At 41.6% G+C, this 19,679-nt stretch overlaps 1 protein-coding gene across 5 annotated transcripts in view; it reads left to right on the plus strand.

The window, feature by feature from the left end:
• Positions 1 to 19,679, plus strand: part of GNAL (G protein subunit alpha L) — a 196,422-nt gene that overhangs the window by 63,589 nt on the left and 113,154 nt on the right. For all 5 annotated transcript variants that reach the window (NM_182978.4, XM_006722324.4, NM_001261443.2 and 2 more), the window contains 3 exons: positions 1 to 73; positions 776 to 830; positions 974 to 1,093. In NM_182978.4, the coding sequence (NP_892023.1) occupies positions 1 to 73; positions 776 to 830; positions 974 to 1,093 (248 nt within the window). The remainder of the gene's footprint in view (positions 74 to 775; positions 831 to 973; positions 1,094 to 19,679) is intronic.

A 19,679-nucleotide genomic window follows, 5' to 3' on the forward strand; every position in this document is an offset into this window, starting at 1 on the left:
GGGCTGGTGAGTCTGGGAAAAGCACTATCGTCAAACAGATGAGGATCCTGCACGTCAATGGGTTTAATCCCGAGTAAGAATGTTCAGTTTGCTTCCAAACTGCATGCAAACTTCGTCTCTCTCCCAGACGTCCCAAAAGTGCTTTCTCTAAACAATTTTAATTTATTTGATAATGGAGTAGACATTCAAGGGGGAAAAAATTAGATATTTGCTGTTGGATTTGGTATATTTAGGCAAATCCTTCTTCTGCTAGTGTCTAATGAAAAAAAAACTTGCTTAACAAAATATGATTTATAGGTATTCTTGGAGTGTTGATCTGTATTACTGGTATTGCTCTGAGCACACTTAACCAATATCTCGATATATTTTTTTCAATATAATATTATTTGTTTGCATCTATTTCAGTTTATAACTGTCAACATATTATCCATGGGATAGATCTAGGTAAAATACATTTACAGGTGTAACTGCATGTTATATTTATATGCAATATCCATAGCGATTTTGCCTAGTTTTTCTGTAACCTGCATAGTTGTTTAAAGCTATAGATTTTTAAAAAAATGTGTGCATTCAAGTTTGTTTAGAGTACAAATTAGAAAAGAAGGGTGCTTTCCTTTCCCAGATAAAACCTTTGCGGATGTCTTGGGGGTTGATACTGACCTCTAGTGAAACCAGTCTAGGTCAGTGCTGTAGCTGGAAATTTAAAATCCCACTCAATTGATTGGAATCAGTGCTAAGAGTAAATTAAGCTAATAACAACTCTCTTTCAATACAGGGAAAAGAAACAGAAAATTCTGGACATCCGGAAAAATGTTAAAGATGCTATCGTGGTAAGGACTTTTTTAAATGATTGTTTACTAGAAAGGTCAAGTGCTCTTCATTCTAAAACTGTGTAGACAGAAATTACATATTGTAGATTATCATACATGGAGCCTAAATGTTTATCCATATTTTTTTTCTTATTCCATTTTAGACAATTGTTTCAGCAATGAGTACTATAATACCTCCAGTTCCGCTGGCCAACCCTGAAAACCAATTTCGATCAGACTACATCAAGAGCATAGCCCCTATCACTGACTTTGAATATTCCCAGGTAAGAAATGCTTACTGAAATATTCTAACTAGTGAAAGATGGAACCATTTTTAATAAGGTTTCTTATTGAGAATCAATATTGATACTAATTCATTATTAACTTTCTTCGAAATCCAGCTCTCTAAATGCATAAGAGGAATACTTATTCTGTACCAAAATATTTGTGTTTGTTAAAAATATTAACTACGGCCAGGGGCGGTGGCTCACACCTGTAATCCCAGCGCTTTGGGAGGCCGAGGCGGGCAGATTGCCTGAGGTCAGGAGTTCAAGCCCAGTCTGTCCAACATGGTAAAACCCCATCTCTACGAAAAATACAAAAAAATTAGCTGGGCATGGTGGTGTGCGCCTGTAATCCCAGCTACTCAAGAGGCTGAGGCAGGGGAATTGCTTGATCGAGGGAGGTGGAGGTTGCCATGAGCCGAGATCACGCCACTGCACTCCAGCCTGGGCGACAGAGCGAGACTCCCATCTCAAAAAAAAAAAAAAATTAACTACAATGGGATTGCAAGAAATGCTTTTATGAGTGTATGGGGAAGGCTGATAATCGGGAAGGCAGCATACCTTTAAGAAATACTGATGGTGCTTTTTTTCCTGTCTGTATTCTTAAACTAACAATTAAGCAGTTTCCCAGATAAAAACAGTAGAAATTACATGAGTAGAGAAAAATACTTATGGTAGGTAATTGCTTCCATGGGAATTACAGAAAGAGCAGAATTCAGTTTACTTTGAAGATGCACAGCCTTCAGATCAATTGAGAAAAGAATGCATTGTATAAAAAATGATAGCATGGATCACTTCTGAATGTTTATCATATTAAAATGCAGTTTGGTTCACATTTGCATTATTTAGGGCTGCTTTTCCTAATCACTTGGATGGCAGTATTGCTTATGCAAAAGAGTGACATCAATCTTAGTTTTCTCTCATTTTTCAGAATATACATTTCTTTAAAATATTTGGTCATTTCATAAAGCATGTTTCAAAGGAAAAGTATTTGTTAAGCTTCTCAGAAAGTCATTTTCATTTTTGTTACAGTGCACCAGAAGTGAGTGTGTATGTGTGTGTGTGTGTGTGTGTGTGTGTGTGTATGTGTATTCATCAATAACAGTCTTTCAAAATTTGTATTGCCTGGCATGGTGGTTTGGAGACATTTTTCATTCTTAGAATCCTCTCTTTGAAGGGAAGCATGTGGAGAAACCAATATGTAAAACAGAGAGACCCCGCCCTGCCTGCAAGGGCTGTGGCCCCTGGCTCACCCCACCCCTTCTCTACAGAGCACCATTGTCCTGTGGGCTCTGTATTGGGATGGCTAATAAGAATGACTTTGTTTCTTCGTTTGTTTGTTTGTTTGTTTTGAGATGGAGTCTCTCTCTGTCGTCCAGGCTGGAGTGCAGTGGCGCGGCTCACTGAAAGCTCCGCCTCCCGGGTTCACGCCATTCTCCTGCCTCAGCCTCCCTAGTAGCTGGGACTACAGGCGCCCGCCACCTCACCCGGCTAATGTTTTTTGTATTTTTAGTAGAGATGGGGTTTCACCGTGTTAGCCAGGATGGTCTCGATCTCCTGACCTCATGATCCACCCGCCTCGGCCTCCCAAAGTGCTGGGATTACAGGCATGAGCCACCGTGCCCAGCCAAGAATAACTTTTTTAAAAAGCTTTTATTTTCATCCTTTAATATGATTTTTGCTTCTGATAAGCATGCCAGTGTAGAGCCAGTGATATCTGTAGAATTTCTAAAATGGAGGAGTGAGGAGTGGCACACTGGCTGGAAGAAGGGGCTGGGCATCTGGCCCCATGTCTTTAACTGGATGGCTTGGAGAGGGCAAGGGGTTGACGTGGCAGGGGAAGGGGTCGGCAGAAGATGCTCCAGCCACACCAGGATCCTCTGCTAACTGGAGGTGCAGATGTCCTCCCGGTTCTCACTGATGCTATGTACACTGGCAAAATCACCCAGAACTACATGGTCCTGGTTGAAATCAGGAGTGGTGTTCCCTTTCAACTTCAGATTTAGACATTTATAGAAAAGCATCTGAGTTCTTGGATTTATCCTATCATGTTTGCCTAGAAGTAATCGTAAAACATCTTATATATTTGGGGGGAAATGCTATTCTTAACATCTAGTGAGAAATTAAAATTAAGATTTATTAATCGGTCCCATGTCTTCTTTCTCCTGTTCATAACAGTCTCACGGTTGATGAGGCATCCCATATTCAACCCCAAATCCAGAAACAATTGGTAACTCCCACCTATATTATCTAAGGAATCCAAAACATCTAATTTGTGAAAGTGTTTTTGGAGCTAAATCATGAACATTTTTAATTAAAAACTTGAGAAACCATTTGCTTTGAATGCATGTATTTTCAGATAGATAAATTAAGGTTACTTAAAAGTTATTTTCAGAAAGCATAATTAATTATCATTACAGTAAAGGAGAATTTAGCACCAGCAGATGCAAATGTAATTACAGTGCTCTTTCAGAGGTAATACTTTTGTGGGGGTTAGTTTTACTGGTGTTTTTTAAGCCTAACATTCTGTTGTCTTAAATGTCTATGCACATGTCAAATGAGAGTATATTTTATATATATATTTATGTATATTTATATATTTTTAACATAGCCCCGACTTATGACTTATATAAATCAGGAAATTAATGTTAAATATGCAACATTCCTTCTGAAAATGCTATTTTTAATTTTAGTATGCACAGAATTTTAGTGACATTTATTTCATAGTGCTTGGAAATATTTATATTACTTATTAAATTATGTAGTTCTTGGTTTCATATTTTGATGATCCTCATTCAGAATGATATCAAGACAAATCTGACTTATATGCTCCATTGGAAAATTAACTTTTATTTAAAAGAATGTATGTTTTTTATAAACATACAAGTAGAGCTAAATCAAGTATTTTAATAGTAAACAAAACACTGTTTTACTCAGTCCAGTACTTTTTTGAGATTGAATCCTTGAGAAAGCCTGTCAGTGTCATGGTTCAATTATTTGAGGGTCTTAAGTTAATTTTCCTGTAGGGGTAAGATAACTTTTGAAACAAATACATTATATTAAAGTTAAAAATTAATTTTAGGGTTCTTCAATTTAAGAAGGAAAAGGAGAAGAATAACTTATCTTAGAAACAAACATCTTGAGAATTTTCTCTGAGAATATTGCACATGGGGGAAATACGGGTGGGTTGCTCTTTGGGTCTTTTGCTCTCTGTGGTGTCTTTCATTTGAATTTCAGTTGAATTCCATGAATCTGAAGTTGTAACAGAAAGCAGGCAAATGTGGTTAGTACCTATCAGCCAAGGGCTGCTGTGGGGAGGTCAGAGAGACTCAGAGGCTGGATCTTATCATCAGCCTTACAGGCCAGGTGTGTCCAGACACACGAAGCTTTGGAGGGTTCTAAGCAGTGGAGCCATGAGATCTCATTGTGTTTCATCAAGATCACTCTGGCTGTGGATGGAGAACGGATTGTGGGGAGGCAGGAGTTGAAGGAGGGCAACCACTTCGGAGACTAGTCTAATAATACAGTGGAAAGGTAATGGGAGAGCTTGCAGTGGGAGGGGATCATGGGGGTGGAGAAAAGTGGCCTGAGTTGGGATTTATTTTGGAAACAACCATTTAGACTTGTCGGCATGTGGATATGAGTACTGAGGGGAAATAGATCAATCAAGAATGACTCTGAGCGTTTGGGTCTGAATTTCTGCATAGAAGGTAGAAACAGGTTGGGAGGAGGCAGGTATGAGGAGGTTTTGTTTTCCTGGTGAGTTGGAGATGACTATTACGACATCTAAGTGGAGACACCAGGTGGACAGCTGGATGCGTGAGGCCCCAGGAGGAGCCATTGCAGAAGGAAGGGATGTCAGCGGTGGGCAGTGCTGACCGGGGAGTCAAGATGGACATTAAGGTTAAAATGGCTTTGGCGGCTTCAAGGTCACCGGTGACCTTGATAAGGACCCAGGTGGAGGGTATTGAGGAGAGAATGTGATGTGAGTGGGTGCAGGTGGCGGCGGCAGATTAGGCTTTCTGGAGGTTTTGCTGTGGAGGAAGGCTGAGGAGCCAGGCAGCAGCTGGGAAGGTAGGCAAGGTCAAGATGAAAGATACAAAACCCTGTCTGAATGAAAAGGGCTGGAATCACTTGGTAAAGCAGGAGAAAATGACAATACAGAAGAAAGAGGCTGTGTATGGCAGGAGTCCAGTCCTCGAGAAGAATGGGGTCCGGAACAAAAAAGGACCAGACCAACTCCCCACTTGAGAAGGCAGAGAACAGGTGCAGACGCAGGTATGTTTTCAGATTTGGTGGCAGAGAGGTGAGGGAGGGCTTGTTAGCAAAGGCTTTTCAAGCAAATTGTGAAAGCAAATTGGTAGCTTACATGGGGATGATCGTCTAGTTTTGCAATTATCCATAAACTGGTATTGTTCAGGTTATAATGAACAGTGATGGATGATAAAATTCTTGTGACCTCGAGCTCACGTGATACAGTTATTCCCTTCACAAGCCAGAACTGTAAAGGGGAGTTTCATACCAGGTCAAAGCAAAAAATAAAAAAACTCCAGTTATCTTCACAGCAAACCGGCAGGATATTTGCTGCAGAATAATGTGAAATCTTTGGAGACAAGGTCAGCATATGTTAAATTTTAATTTCAAATGAAATAACACAAACATATTTTACAACACATAAATCACCATAGAAAAGTACTGGGATTAGCTACAAATAATGAATTGACAGTTGCCTGATTAGAGTTTTTCTCATGAATACACCCAAAGCTTCAGGTTATCTTTGTTCAAGGCTTGACTCCCCACTCCGTAAGCCCCTCACTAGTTGGCACTATGTCTTAGCAGCCAAATTTTGCATAGCAGCCAGCAGATGCAATGATGCAAAATAAATAGTCTTAAGTGATTATGCCAAAACATAGATTAGCTGATCATTTATGAAATAGGAAAAATAGGCCGGGCATGGTGGCTCACACCTGTAATCCCAGTACTTTGGGAGGCCAAGGCAGGTCAATCACCTGAGGTCAGGAGTTTGAGACCAGCCTGGCCAACGTGGTGAAACCCCGTCTCTACTAAAATTAGAAAAATTAGCCGGGCATGGTGGCGGGCGCCTGTAATCCCAGCTACTAGGGAGGCTGAGGCAGGAGAATAACTTGAACCCAGGAGGCGGAGGTTGCAGTGAGCCAAGATCGTGATATTCCACTCCAGCCTGGGCAACAGAGCGAGACTCCGTCTCAAAAAAAAACAAAAAGGAAGAAAAGAAAAAAGAAGAAAAATGTTGTGGTTGCCTCCTCCAAAAATCCTTTAGCACTATACCAAGCAAAATCACTGTTGAATTCAATTGAGTTATTCATTTGTTTCATTTTTATTCTTAAAATGTGGATACTTTATTAGCTCTTTTCAAATTGTATTTTGCTAGTTTTTTCTAAGGGGAAGAGGATAAATCAGGCTAAACAAGAAACAGAAAAGCAGTCTGATCTGTTGGTCAGTACTTTGCCATTACCACCTGGTGTTTCCTAAATTATTACCCAGAGAGCAGAGGTCAGTGTTTTGCCTTCCTCCCAGGTGAGAGCTACTCTGTCACTTTCCAACAGCAGCCCCAAGTCAGGAGGCACCCTGTGTGGCTAACGTCTGAGTGTTCGGTCAGTGTGCAGGCAAAGGAGGCCACAGTGGCCTGGGCCAAGGCCCCGAGAGCCAGACGGCCTGGTGTGACTCTGAGCAAGTGGCCTACACCCACTGCAGCTTGGGCCCTGCATAGAGAGCCAAGTGCGGTGCCCAGCCCAGGGAGTGCCATGCAGAGCTCCAGCGGCTGCTGCCGTGTGCTGCCGCCTCTCCTTGGGAGATGTGTGCAGAATCTCCAGAATGCGGTCAGATTCTTCCGCACAATATCTGTGTTCCCTCTCCAAGCCTGTGTCTATCTCCTGCTAGAAGGCTTTGTGCTGTGGGTTTTCGTGTGTGTGTCTTTTTTTTAACCAACCAAGCTGAAGCCCACCGTGTAAATCAGGTCAGCATGAGTTCCTCCACGGCAGCCTCTACTTGGGTTCCCTGCACCCTGGGTGACCATTCCTGCCCAGTACCTCATCAAACCCACCTCCCAGTGCCATCAGAAAATGATGGGGCTGGCTGTGTTCGCTCCCTGAGGACCAGGCCTCTTTCTCCACCGCCTCCTCTCCCCGCAGCTCGCTCTTGGAGTGCATCTCCTGCTGGGTGCGCTACAAACAATCTCCATGTGCCTGCTAACTTAGGTTATGATAGAATCCTCTGAATCCACTTCAGTAAGGACCTGTGGGCACAAGAAGTCAGGGGACAGGCCAATTGGGATGTCACACAGTGTGAAAGAACATGAGGTCCCCACACATACAGCAAAACAGCAACCACCTAATTCAAAATGGTACTGAAATTGATTGCCCCACAGCCATCCTGTTCTTTGCCTTTTGAGCTAGTGAGGTCTGGTGCATGTTTTATGGGAGAAAGGCAACATTTGAGCTGGTGTAAAAAGGGCACAGTAAACTTTCGCCTTCTGCAGTACACTGAACCTCTTAAAGACGCTTGTGTCTGGCATGGAAGGAAAAAGTACCATGTTTTCCTTCCAGTATTTTCAGATGTAATTAATAAATGGAAATTTATTATAGGGGCCCACTTAAGGTCTCACTGCCCCTCTGCTGGGTCTGTCTTGAATGGGAGTCACTGGGAGAAGGGTCTTTGGGCTTGGCGCTTCCCCTGGGTCTTCATAGGGGCTGAGGCAGGGCTGGTAAGGAGCCCCTGCAGGGGGACACAAGGGTGGACAGGGTGCAGACACCCCCAGGCCTGGGATTCTGTGGACAGCATGGTGTTTGTATCTTGAAAGGGGGTCTTAAGGGGAGGTGTGGGGCCAGCCCAAACTGTGTTCAAATTCTAGCCCTGCCAGACCCTTTGTATGTGACCTTGAGCACATGACCTCATTGCTATCTGCCTTTTCTCAATGGTACAGTAGAGATGATGGCAACACCTACTTCCTGTGGCTGATGTGAGGATTAAACATGTTAATATCTAAAACAGTGGCTGGGACATGGGCGGTACAGCTTTAAAATGAGCAATCCTGCTCTGCTGGAGGAAGTGGAGCAGAGCTAGCGCCATTCTTGGCCTCGCCTCAGTTGCTGGGGCTGGTTGGTGGCCCCACCTCAGTCCACACGGCCCCCAGGTCCCGTGGTCTGACATGGCTTACTGTCCACTCCCCTCTGGATCCACGGGGAGTCAGTCGCACCCCTTAGCTGTCACCGCCTGCACCTCCACCTCAAGCCAGCATTTATAGGCAGTCCCTTCTGTCCCATGCCAAGAGCTGACATGCCTAACACTTCACAGCCCTCCTGGGAGAAGGCACCCCTAGTTTTCCCCAAAGGAAGTGAGGCCCCTGACTGCTCAGGAATCCTCATCCCCATGCCCTCTCAGAGCACAGGTTCTCATGTGGGAGTCCCCCAGGCTCTCTGGCAGGTTACCATGGACCTCCCTTCCTGCCTGTTCTCTGTTACCAGCAGGCCCCAGAGCTCGGCTCTCCTTCTCTTTCTCTACCTTATTTTCAGTTGGATTTTCTTTGCTAACATTGGCCTTGCTCTTTCCCACCATTTCGGCTTGGCCTGTGTCCTGGCCTTCTGATCCTGTGGCTGGCCTAGTCTCAGGTTCTTTGAGGGTGCCTGGAACTCCCCTGGATTTTGCAGATTTCTATGGGATTTTTTGCCTCTCTCCCTAGGCCTGCAGTTTCTGCCCAGTTTTGCTGCAAGTTCCAATAAGCTGCAGCCTCATTCTTTTGTGCTCACCGCAGTGCACCTTTGCTTCGTGCTGTCTAGTGGTAGAAAGGTGAAATGCACCCTGACTGCACCCCTCACAGGGAGATCATGCTAAAATAAATACTTCACAAATAGTTAGATGTCCTAAGGCATGTTCTCTGGTTTTTAAAAAAGTCCTAGGAAAGACCTTTTTTTAAAATGCACAATAATCTTTCTTGTTCTAATTTGCACACCTGGTTGCTGGAAGCAGTGAACGCCTGTGTCTTAGGCTCAGGGCTGCCGTATTGATTCTATAGGGCCTAACAGAAGTCCCACTTTGCAGAGGAAAACAGTGATGTGTGTTGAAAATAGATGGTGCGTGAGGCCTCAGGGACCATTTGGCCTGACAGCCCCAGCTGAGGACAGGGAGGCACAGGAGGTGGAGAGGGAGAGGCAACATGGAAGTTGATTTCATTTGCCAGCTGTCCATGGAGCTTCCCAGTAGTTGGCGAAGATGGAACGTGGCTTCCTGAGCTGCCTGTCTTTCCCGTGAAAGGTTGACATCACAGAGTAGTCCATAAGCAACAGTTTTCAGTGGGGCCACATGGAGGTCCCGAAGCTCTTCTGCCAGCACTGTGGAGGGGAAGCGGGTGACATGGAAGAGGTCACGTGGACTGCCCTTGCTTCAGTAATTATTCAGTACACATATTATCCATCTTGTGGACACCAAGATGAATAAGGAACAGCACTTTTCTACCTCTGGCAGGGATACAGGCTTAAGAAATACAGGTGTGTAAGGCTACATTTAAGGAAGTTCTTGGGGCCACCTGGGGACACCCATGCAGCTGGCGTCACACTGAGCTGAATCTTCCTTGAATGGGACGGGCTTAGAGGGCAGGTGGACATAGAGAGGACAGTGCTTCAGGGTGGGTGGCACCTTCCCTGCAGACCAAAAGCCCAGTCAGGCCACGGCGGGTTAGGGAGAGTCCTGCGAGCCTGGCCAAGGGGCCTGGGCTTCCTCCTCAAGGCTGGGGAGAACCATTCCACGGTTTTCTTTGGGGGAGTGACAAAAATGCAAGGTTTTTTTGGAAGGATCACTTCCGAATTCATAAAGAGACCAGGCTTTGTATCTGCTGTGGGGATGGTGCTCTGGGAATTTGTCTGTCATTGGACAAAGGGCATTTCCTGTACCAGAAACCTGCTTCCAGGTCTCACATGGCTTATGTCATGATATTAAGGAGGAGGGAAACCCCCACTGAGAATAAGTATTGTATTATTCTGCACATCTGAGATGCTAATAAAAGGAATTTTTATTATTATAGTAAAACATTTCAGTTAGATAGATTAACCGTATTAGAGCTTCAATAAAGATACTTTTCTTAAATTCCATTTTTTTCTTTGCAATATTATCATAAGAGGTACTCCTAATCAATGTTAGCTTTTTATTTTGAAGTGATTTTAATCTTTACCTGAACAATACAAAAGAAGTACCGAATACTGCCATGTGTCCTTCACCCAGATTCATCGATAGCTAATGTGTGGCCACATTCATGCTCTCACTCTCTCTACACTAACACACATTTTTGTGAACGATTTGAGAGTTGGTTGCAGACATCATGCCCCCTTGCCTCTAACTACATCAGTGTGTATTTCCTTAGAATGAGGACATCCACTTCACTTCTGTAACCACAGCACAGGTATCAAAATTAGGAGATTTAACATTAATACGATATCTTTTTTTTTTTCTTTTTTGAACAGAGTCTCGCTCTGTCTCCCAGGCTGGAGTGCAGTGGTGCGATCTCGGCTCACTGCAGCCTCCCAAGTAGCTGGGACTACAGGCATAGCCCACCACCATGCCTGGCTAATTTTTGTATTTTTAGTAGAGATGGGATTTCACCATGTTGGCCAGGCTGGTCTCAAACTCCCAGCTTCAAGTGATCCACCTCCCTCCCAAAGTGCCGAGATTACAGGTGTGAGCCACCACATCTGACCATCATTTTGTAATCAACAAACCTTACTCAGATTTTACCAAGAGTCTCAATAATTTAATGAAATAATAGCAGTAACAATAATAATAAATAATGATATTGGTAACTCTGGTCAGTAATCTAATCCAGGATCAGCCATGACATTTAACTTCCATTTCTCTCTATGCTAGAACAGTTGCTCAGCCGACCTTTTTTGTCATGACCTTGGCCTGACATTGACTTTGTAGAACACCCACACTCAGAGTTCCTTTGAGGTTTTGTATTTGGAGCAACAGCAGAGAAGTGATCATGAATCCTTCCTTCTCAGTGCATCTGTGATGTTAACTCTGGTCACTAGTTAAGGTGGGGTCTGCTTCTATATAGATGCCCTTTTTCCCTTGGTAATTTATAAGTAAATTCCAGGAATGTTTTTTGAAACTGTACAAATATCCTGTTTTTTTGTTTTTTTGTTTTTTTGAGACAGAGTCTTGCTCTGTCGCCCAGGCTACAGTGCAGTGGCACAAGCTCGGCTCACTGCAACCTCCTCCCTTCAAGTTCAAGCAGTTCTCCTGCCTCAGCCTCCTGAGTAGCTGGAATTACAGGCACCTGCCACCATGCCCAGCTAATTTTTTTGTATTTTTAGTAGAGACGGGGTTTCACTATGTTGGCCAGGCTGGTCTCAAACTCCCAACCTTAAGTAATCCGCCCACCTTGACCTCCCAAGGTGTTGGGATTACAGGCGTGAGCCACCATGCCTGGCCCAAATATCCTGTTCTTATCAAAACTCACACTCTAGTTTTCACACACCAGTAGGCTTGAGCAATAAATATGTAAGGGAGAAAACTGCTCAATCTTTTGACTTTCTAAATACCATGATTAAAATAAAATAGGTGGCCTATGCCTGTAATCCCAGCACTTTGGGAGGCCCAGGCGGGTGGATCACTTGAGTCCAGGAGTTTGAGAGACAAGCCTAGGCAACATGGTGAAACCCTGTCTCTACAAAAAATACACTGGGTGTGGTGGCTGCCACCTGAAATAGCAACTCCCTGAGCCTGGGAGGCAGAGGTCACAGTGAGCCATGATCCAGCCACTGCACTCCTGCCTGGGCGGCAGAGTGAGACCCTGTCTCAAAACAAACAAACAAACAACAAAAAAAAGAAAATGGATGTAAGTTCTGTGTAGCTAGGTGGGGTGGGCTGGAGTCAAAAGAAGCAGGCATATCTATGAAAGCTGAATATAATAGACTGTACATACTGAAGACTTTATTTTTGTTAATAAAAGCAAATGGTTAAAAGTTGTTTTACATCTATTCTTCAAATATCTATAAAATCAGTTGATGTTCCTTATGGTTAACAGCACAGGCTGCCCCATAAAAATACCTGATGAAAAAACAATTAGAAAAAGAAAATGGAGATGGTGAGGCTGCTTTGTCATCATAAAAAATGCATCATTTCATGCTCTTGATAATAAAAGCACATGGAGGACCAGCCACAACAGCGACCTCTCAAACTCACCAGCACACCAAGAAATCGGGGCTTGAGCCACATGACCATTTTTATCTAAAGTGTTTTTTCTTACAGAAAATGAATTAAAAGGCCACAAAGTAATTAAGGCAACTTTTTTTGGTTTTTAAATTTTTTGATGGATATATAATAGTTGTACATGTTTATAGGGTACGTGTGATATTTTGATGCAAGCATACAGTAAGTTATCAAATTAGAGTAATTGGAATATCCGTCACCTCAAACATTTATCATTCCTTTGTGTTAGGACTATTCTAATTCCAGTCCTCTAGGTATTTTGAAATATACAATAAATTATTAAGTTACAGTTGCCCCATGGTGCTCCTCAATACTGTATCTTATTCCTTCTGTGCATCTGTACTTTTGTGCCCGTTGATCATTCTCTCTTCACCCACCTCCCCACTATTCTTCCCAGCCTCTAGTAAGCATCATTCTGTTCTCTACTTCCATGAGGTCCACTTTTTAGCTCCCACATAGGAGTGAGAACATGTGATATTTGTCTTCCTGTGCTTGGCTTGTTTCCCCTAACACAATGTTCGTTCTATCCATGTTGCTGCAAATGACAGGACTTCATTTTTTTCCACTGCTGAATAATATTCCATTGTGTATTTGTGTACCATTTTTTTTATTATTATTTCTTGGATAGGATGTCTTTGAAACTTCAAATCCTTTGAAAATGTGAGGCTGAACAAAAAAGATTTTTGTTTCCAAAGTTCGCCTCCAGTTTGAATGTATTGGAAGTTTGTTGTTCATCTCTAAGGACCCTTGCTCTTTTCAGAAGAATATGGCGTTAAACATACCTTAAGTATTAGAGCATTTTGTTCTTATCGTTGCTAGTTTTATGTAACTGAGAGAAAATATTTTGAACGTCTTAGCACTCTCTCAGGAATCAGTAGAAGGAGCAGAGCGAGGAGGCTATTCTTATGCCAAATTAAGACTTAAATGAGTCAACACGTGTGGTTTGTGAGAAAAGCACACTAGGTTTTAAGAGGCAGAATAATGAAGTTGTTCTTGAGGAAGGTTCCTTTGAAACACTGGCTTTCTTATTTTTTAGTTTTGCATGAGAATGTCATCCATGAAGGTGTGGGGGTTTTTTCACCTTTAAAATAATCTCATACTTTTTTTATCCTGTCATCTTCATGGCATAAATGGAATTAAATCAACTGTATGCATAACATTCTCACTACACAAAGCAATTCCATTTTTAATTTGTGTTTGTATTTGTTTGGATAGGAAATATTTGTGGATGGCATAAAATCCAAAAGATATAAAGGAGCAGGGAGGGAAGAGGCTGCTCCTGCCCAGCACCCCCAGAGTCCCCAGAGACAGCCAGTGTGGTGTTTCAACAGAATGGTTGGCCTTAAACTGACTTCGAGTCCCCAAAGGGCGATCTTCTCAACCTACTTTTATCTTGTAGTGAAGAGAATCTGTTATAAAATGTTACCGTAGTTAATCTTGTTAGTATGGGGCAAATATCTAACCTGAATTGCCAAGTAAATGTTTTCCAAGTGAAATTTAACAATAGAGTAAATTAGCTGGAAACTGCTTGGGTGCTGAGACCAAATGCCGGAGTACTTAATTGCAAAAATATAGAACGATTTTATTAGACAACCATGAAATACTGGTGTTTTAAAGCGTAGAAGCTGCAGACTTCCTCACTGAGGGAGATCATAAATTGAACAGTTAAGCCAGGCAGGACGTTTGGAGGGCATTTGATGTAGGTTCAGCGTGGCTAATAACCTGGGATGGCATTTGGTAGTTCTTCGGGACATTTCTTTAACTTTACAGGTCCTTGCTACATGTCATCTTTCTCACAAGAGTTTCCTGTTCAATCTGTACCCAACCTGTATTCTTCCTTTTGGCTTTAAGACATTTTGTCCCTCCCATACCCATTTGTATTTTACAGACCCAGTTTGATATTTCTGCCCAGGAAGAAATCCCTGACTTCCCTCCCATATGCCATGCTTGCACACTTGCATTCTGTGCACCCTTATGCTTGCACACTTGCTCTCTGTGTGCCTTTACATTTGCATGCTTCCTCTCTGTGCACCCTTATGCTTACACACCTGTTCTCTGTGCCCCCTTATGCTTGCACACTTGCACTCTAGGCACCCTTATGCTTGCACATTTGCTCTCTGTGCCTTTACACTTGCATGCTTACTCTGTGTGCACCCTTATGCTTACAAACCTGCTCTGTGCACACTTACACTTGCACACTTGCCTCTGAGCACCCTTATACTTGTACCCCTGCCGCTGTGCACCCTTTTGCTTGCACAGTTGCTCTCTGTGCACCTTATGCTTGCATGCTTGCTCTTGCTGCTTGCATGCCTGCACTGTGTGCATCCTTACACTTGCATGCTGTACTCTGTGAGCCCTTGTGCTTGCACACTTGCACTCTCCACGCCCTTGGCCTTGCACGCTTGTTCTCTGTGCACCCTTAGCTCATACACTTACATTCTGTGTGCTCTTGCACTTGCACACTTGCTCTCTCTGTTCCCTTAGTTTGCACAATTGCGCTCTGTGCATCCTTGCACTTGCACGCTTGCTGTCTGTGCACGCTTACACTTCCATGCTTGCTCTCTGTGTACCCTTATTTTTGCGTGCTCCATCCCACCAGGTCTTGCTCTTACCATCTTCAAAACCCTGCCTTGCCTGCTTTTTTTTCTTCCTCTACCTGAAACACTAAGATTTCCAAGAACACAGTTTGCATGCTGTGTAGATGTCCTTATTTAAATATTGATTTGCCAAAGGTTAGTCTTGAGTACTTAGTAAGTTCTTAGTAAGACCCAAATAACTATAGAAACTAGTTATTTGCCCCCTTTTAAGTCCCTCCAATTAACAAGGCTAGACTTATTTAGAAAGCACATTTATGTGTCATATTTGACATTTTTTATGCCTGACCTTTGATTCTTAAAGCTCATAGTATGATGAGTCATGTAGTTTTTCCACTAAACATGCCTTTACTGAGGACAGGAACTTGACATGGCATTTGGCATATAGTTATGCTCAGTAAATGTACATAAAGCCACGTATTTATCAACACCGTACTCAGGACCATGAGTTACACAAAGGAAGTGTTAGTTATGACCTCTGGCCTCAAAAGCCTTACCACTTAGTGAAGGAAAGGATGTCTGTAATATATAATGTATAGGCCGGGCACCGTGGCTCACACCTGTAATTCCAGCACTTTCAGAGGCTGAGGCAGGAGGATCACCTGAGGGTCAGGAGTTCGAGACCAGCCTGACCAACATGGAGAAACCCCGTCTCTACTAAAAATACAAAATTAGCTGGGCGTGGTGGCACATGCCTGTAATCCCAGCTACTCAGGCAGCTGAGGCAGGAGAATCGCTTGAACCCAGGAGGCAGAGGTTGCGGTGAGCTGAGATCACGCCACTGCACTCCAGCCTGGGCAACAAGAGCGAAACTCCATCTCGAAAAAAAAAAGGCCAGGCGCAGTGGCTCACGCCTGTAATCCCAACACTTTGGGAGGCCGAGGCGGGCGGATCACGAGGTCAGGAGATCAAGAACATCCTGGCTAACATGGTGAAACCCCGTCTCTACTAAAAATACAAAAAATTAGCCAGGCCTGGTGGCAGGCGCCTGTAGTCCCAGCTACTCGGGAGGCTGAGGCAGGAGAATGGTGTGAACCCGGGAGGCGGAGCTTGCAGTGAGCCGAGATCACGCCACTGCACTCCAACCTGGGCGACGGAGCAAGACTCTGTCTCAAAAAAAAAAAAAAATATATATATAACATATTATTATATATATTATATATATTACTATATGTTATATATAATATATTATATATATTATATATTCTATATTATAATATAGAATATATATATTCTATATTATAATATATTATATATAATATATAATATATATAATATATATTATAATATAGATTATATAAATTATATGTAATATATATTATAATATAGATTATATAAATTATATGTAATATATATTATAATATAGATTATATAAATTATATGTAATATATATTATAATATAGATTATATAAATTATATATAATATATATAATGTGTAATATAAAATTAATGAAAAATAAGGCATGTAGTTTAATGCTAACTCATGTGGTATAGACTAGACATTCTGTAGCCATTCAGAAAAGAAGATTAATAAGGACTATTGTGCTCAGACAAAAGTCTTCATTGTTGCACTTCGTACAGTAGGGCTTCCTGGGAAGGTAAAATTGTCATCAGCAGAGCCTAGTCAGGAAGCCATATCCCCATCACAAAATCAAGGCCACTCCTAGCATAGCAGCATCAGTTTCTCAGGTCTGGGGGACAGTAAGCTTTGGCTAGAGCTCAAGAATGAGCCCTTGGTCTACAAACTTGTTCCATGATGTTCAGAAAAATGAAGAGCATCATCTTTTAGCTTAAAGTGAATCCACAGTTGTGGGAGTTAGTTTATTACACATGCACGTAATTACTTAGTGTTTAAAGAAACGTTGGTAAAGAATATGTTCAAACAAATTGAAGTATATATTTTTTATTTCATGAAGCACGTAAGTTTATGGCAAAAAGATAAACAAATGTTGGTTGCTTCAGTCATTTCCATTTCCATTTTCTCATCCCAAGTGGAGGTAAAATGATCCTTACTACAATCTTGCTTATCCTACCTATTTACACACATGTCTAAAATATACACACACACATGCACACACACTGGCACATGCAGAGGCTGAATCATGCACAAAATACGTAAATGATGAACATTTTTTTAAAAATATTACCAAATATTGATGGGATATGGCAGTGTTGTTTTTGAAAAATATGTAACATGACTTTAATATTTTTATAGTTTTCAGAATTAGAATCATAGGAAGGGAAAATGTTTTAATTAGATAATTCAACTTTTTATGTGTCTGTAGTGGTGTACTATAAAAGCAAATTATAAAGCATTATTAAATATTCATAATAATTTTTAATATTACCTGCATTATGAATTTAACTAAAATAAAGTGAGTTGTACATTTTTAATTGAGTTGTTTCAATAGCTGGAAGCATCCTGAAGCATTATATTAATTTTTGAACTATTTGAATTCAAACTGAGTATGATTTGAAAATAAATTAATAATTTAAAAACAAAAATAAAAATATTACCAAATATTAAACTTACCTCAATGATTATTCTTCAGAAACATCTGAAAAGAATGATATTTTCATAGCAAAACCTTTAGAATCATCTCTGAAAAAAGAAAAAAGGGAAAACATATTTTCTCTTAATTTTCCTCCCTACTGCCACCACCCATGTGAGAATCATATGAGTTTGACCACCCATTATTCTTGATTGTTTCTAGAGCTGTCTATGCAATCTCAGTCAAACGAGTAATTTTTAACCAGAGTATTTGTAGAAAAATAACAGTTATTTGAGTTTTCATTTTTATTAAAAATAATGTTAAAGATTTTATGGCATTATTATCAGGTTGCATTTTTTTTAATCCACAGGAGTGTACCATTACCCTAAAGAATACCTTTTAAATTATTGGGAGGTTCCTATCTCCATTTTCTCAAGCTTAAATAATCTCCTTAAATAATCTAAATTTTAGATATTATGTAAGTGTTCTAATACTTTACATATTGAATGAAGATATATCATTTTAAGGTATTTAGTTTTAAATTTAAGTTTTTTAAAAATAGTTCTTAAGGTGTTATATGTTTACTTTTTTTCTTAAATCACGTGGCATCAGCTGACATCTTTAACTGCTTGAAAGAATTAAGCCAATAAATATTATCATGGCCAGGTGCGGTGGCTCAAGCCTGTAATCCCAGCACTTAGGGAGGCCAAGGCAGGTGAATCACCTGAGGTCGGGAGTTTGAGACCAGCCTGGCCAACATGATCAAACCCTGTCTCTACTAAAAAAATACAAAAAATTAGCCAGGCGTGGTGGCAGGCCTCTGTAATCCCAGCTACTCAGGAGGCTGAGGCAGGAGAATTGCTTGAACCTGGGAGGCAGAGGTTACAGTGAGCCGAAGTCGTGCCACTGCTCTCCAGCCTGGGCAACAAGAGTGAAACTCTGTAAAAAAAAAAAAAAAAGAAAAAAAGAGATTATCATTAGTGTTTCTTATTTCTTTGGTTAAAATGTTATAGTGAGTAGTGTGTTATATCATCATGTGAATTTTCATAACTTATTGGAAGTTAATGTTAATGTTAACATTAACTAATTGGAAGTTAATGATAATGAAATTAATCATTATCAGTTTTATATGAACAGGCATTTCATTTTTTTTTCTAAATGATGACCTGATATGTGTCAGGAACTATGTTCAGCATTGGAAATACTAAGCTGAATTGTGTACACCCACGGGAATTCTCACAGGGCTCACAGAGCTTAAACCCCTAGGACACACTGTCATGTTGGCAAGGGGAAGGTGGACACAGCCCTTTGGGAGAAATAGTGGTGCTATCCCAGGGAAGGTGAGGGGTGGCCTGGCCTTTGAAGAATGGGTGAATTCAGCAGGTAGACCAGGGACAGTGGCAAGTGCAGTATGGCCAGCACAGCCCTGTGTGCAAATTTTTTTGTTGTTTGTTTGTTTTGAGATGGAGTCGCACTCTGTCACCCAGGCTGGAGTATAGTGGTGCGATCTCAGCTCACTGCAACCTCCTCCTTCTGGGTTCAAGCGATTCTCCTGCCTCAGCCACCCCAGTAGCTGGAATTACAGGTGTGTGACACCATGCCTGGCTAATTTTTTTGTTTTTTTTAGTAGTAGAGATCAGGTTTCGCCATGTTGGCCAGCCTGGTCTCGAACTCCTGACCTCAGGTGATCTACCTGCCTCAGCCTCCCAAAGTGCTGGGATTACTGGTGCCCCGCCCCTGTGTGCAAATTTGGACACCGCAGAGGTGCTCCTTCTCAGAAGTCCCCCACATCATACAAATCATTTCAAGAGCATCTAGCCCTACAGGAAGATCATGGAGAGACATTCTTGGACTTTTTTATTACACTTGCTCCAGTGTAAAATTTTATGGTATGAATACAGTATGACTATTATAGCAGAAATAAATAAAAATACCAGGACAGATAATAGAAAAGAGTTGTAAGAAATTCAGGAAATGTATGTGCTTCAATAAAAAGAATGCTTTAAATTGTCCTAGTTGATTTTATTGAAGGTAAATTTGAAATTCCATACTTAGTATTTAAGTCAAATTACCACTCATGCTTCTCTTGTGGTTCTCTTTACTGAGAAATTCAGGAGACTGCATCTTTGCAGGTTTCTCACTTCAATTCCATGCCCATCAGTTTGCCCCCAGTGCCGTCCTGTTCCAGGTGATCATAGGGCCAAATAGAGTTGATGTCTCCATTGTGTTTTGACCAAGCTTCCCCATCTGTGCTCTTTT

This window comes from Homo sapiens, chromosome 18 (genome assembly GCF_000001405.40).
Source record: "Homo sapiens chromosome 18, GRCh38.p14 Primary Assembly".
Lineage (NCBI taxonomy): Eukaryota > Metazoa > Chordata > Mammalia > Primates > Hominidae > Homo > Homo sapiens.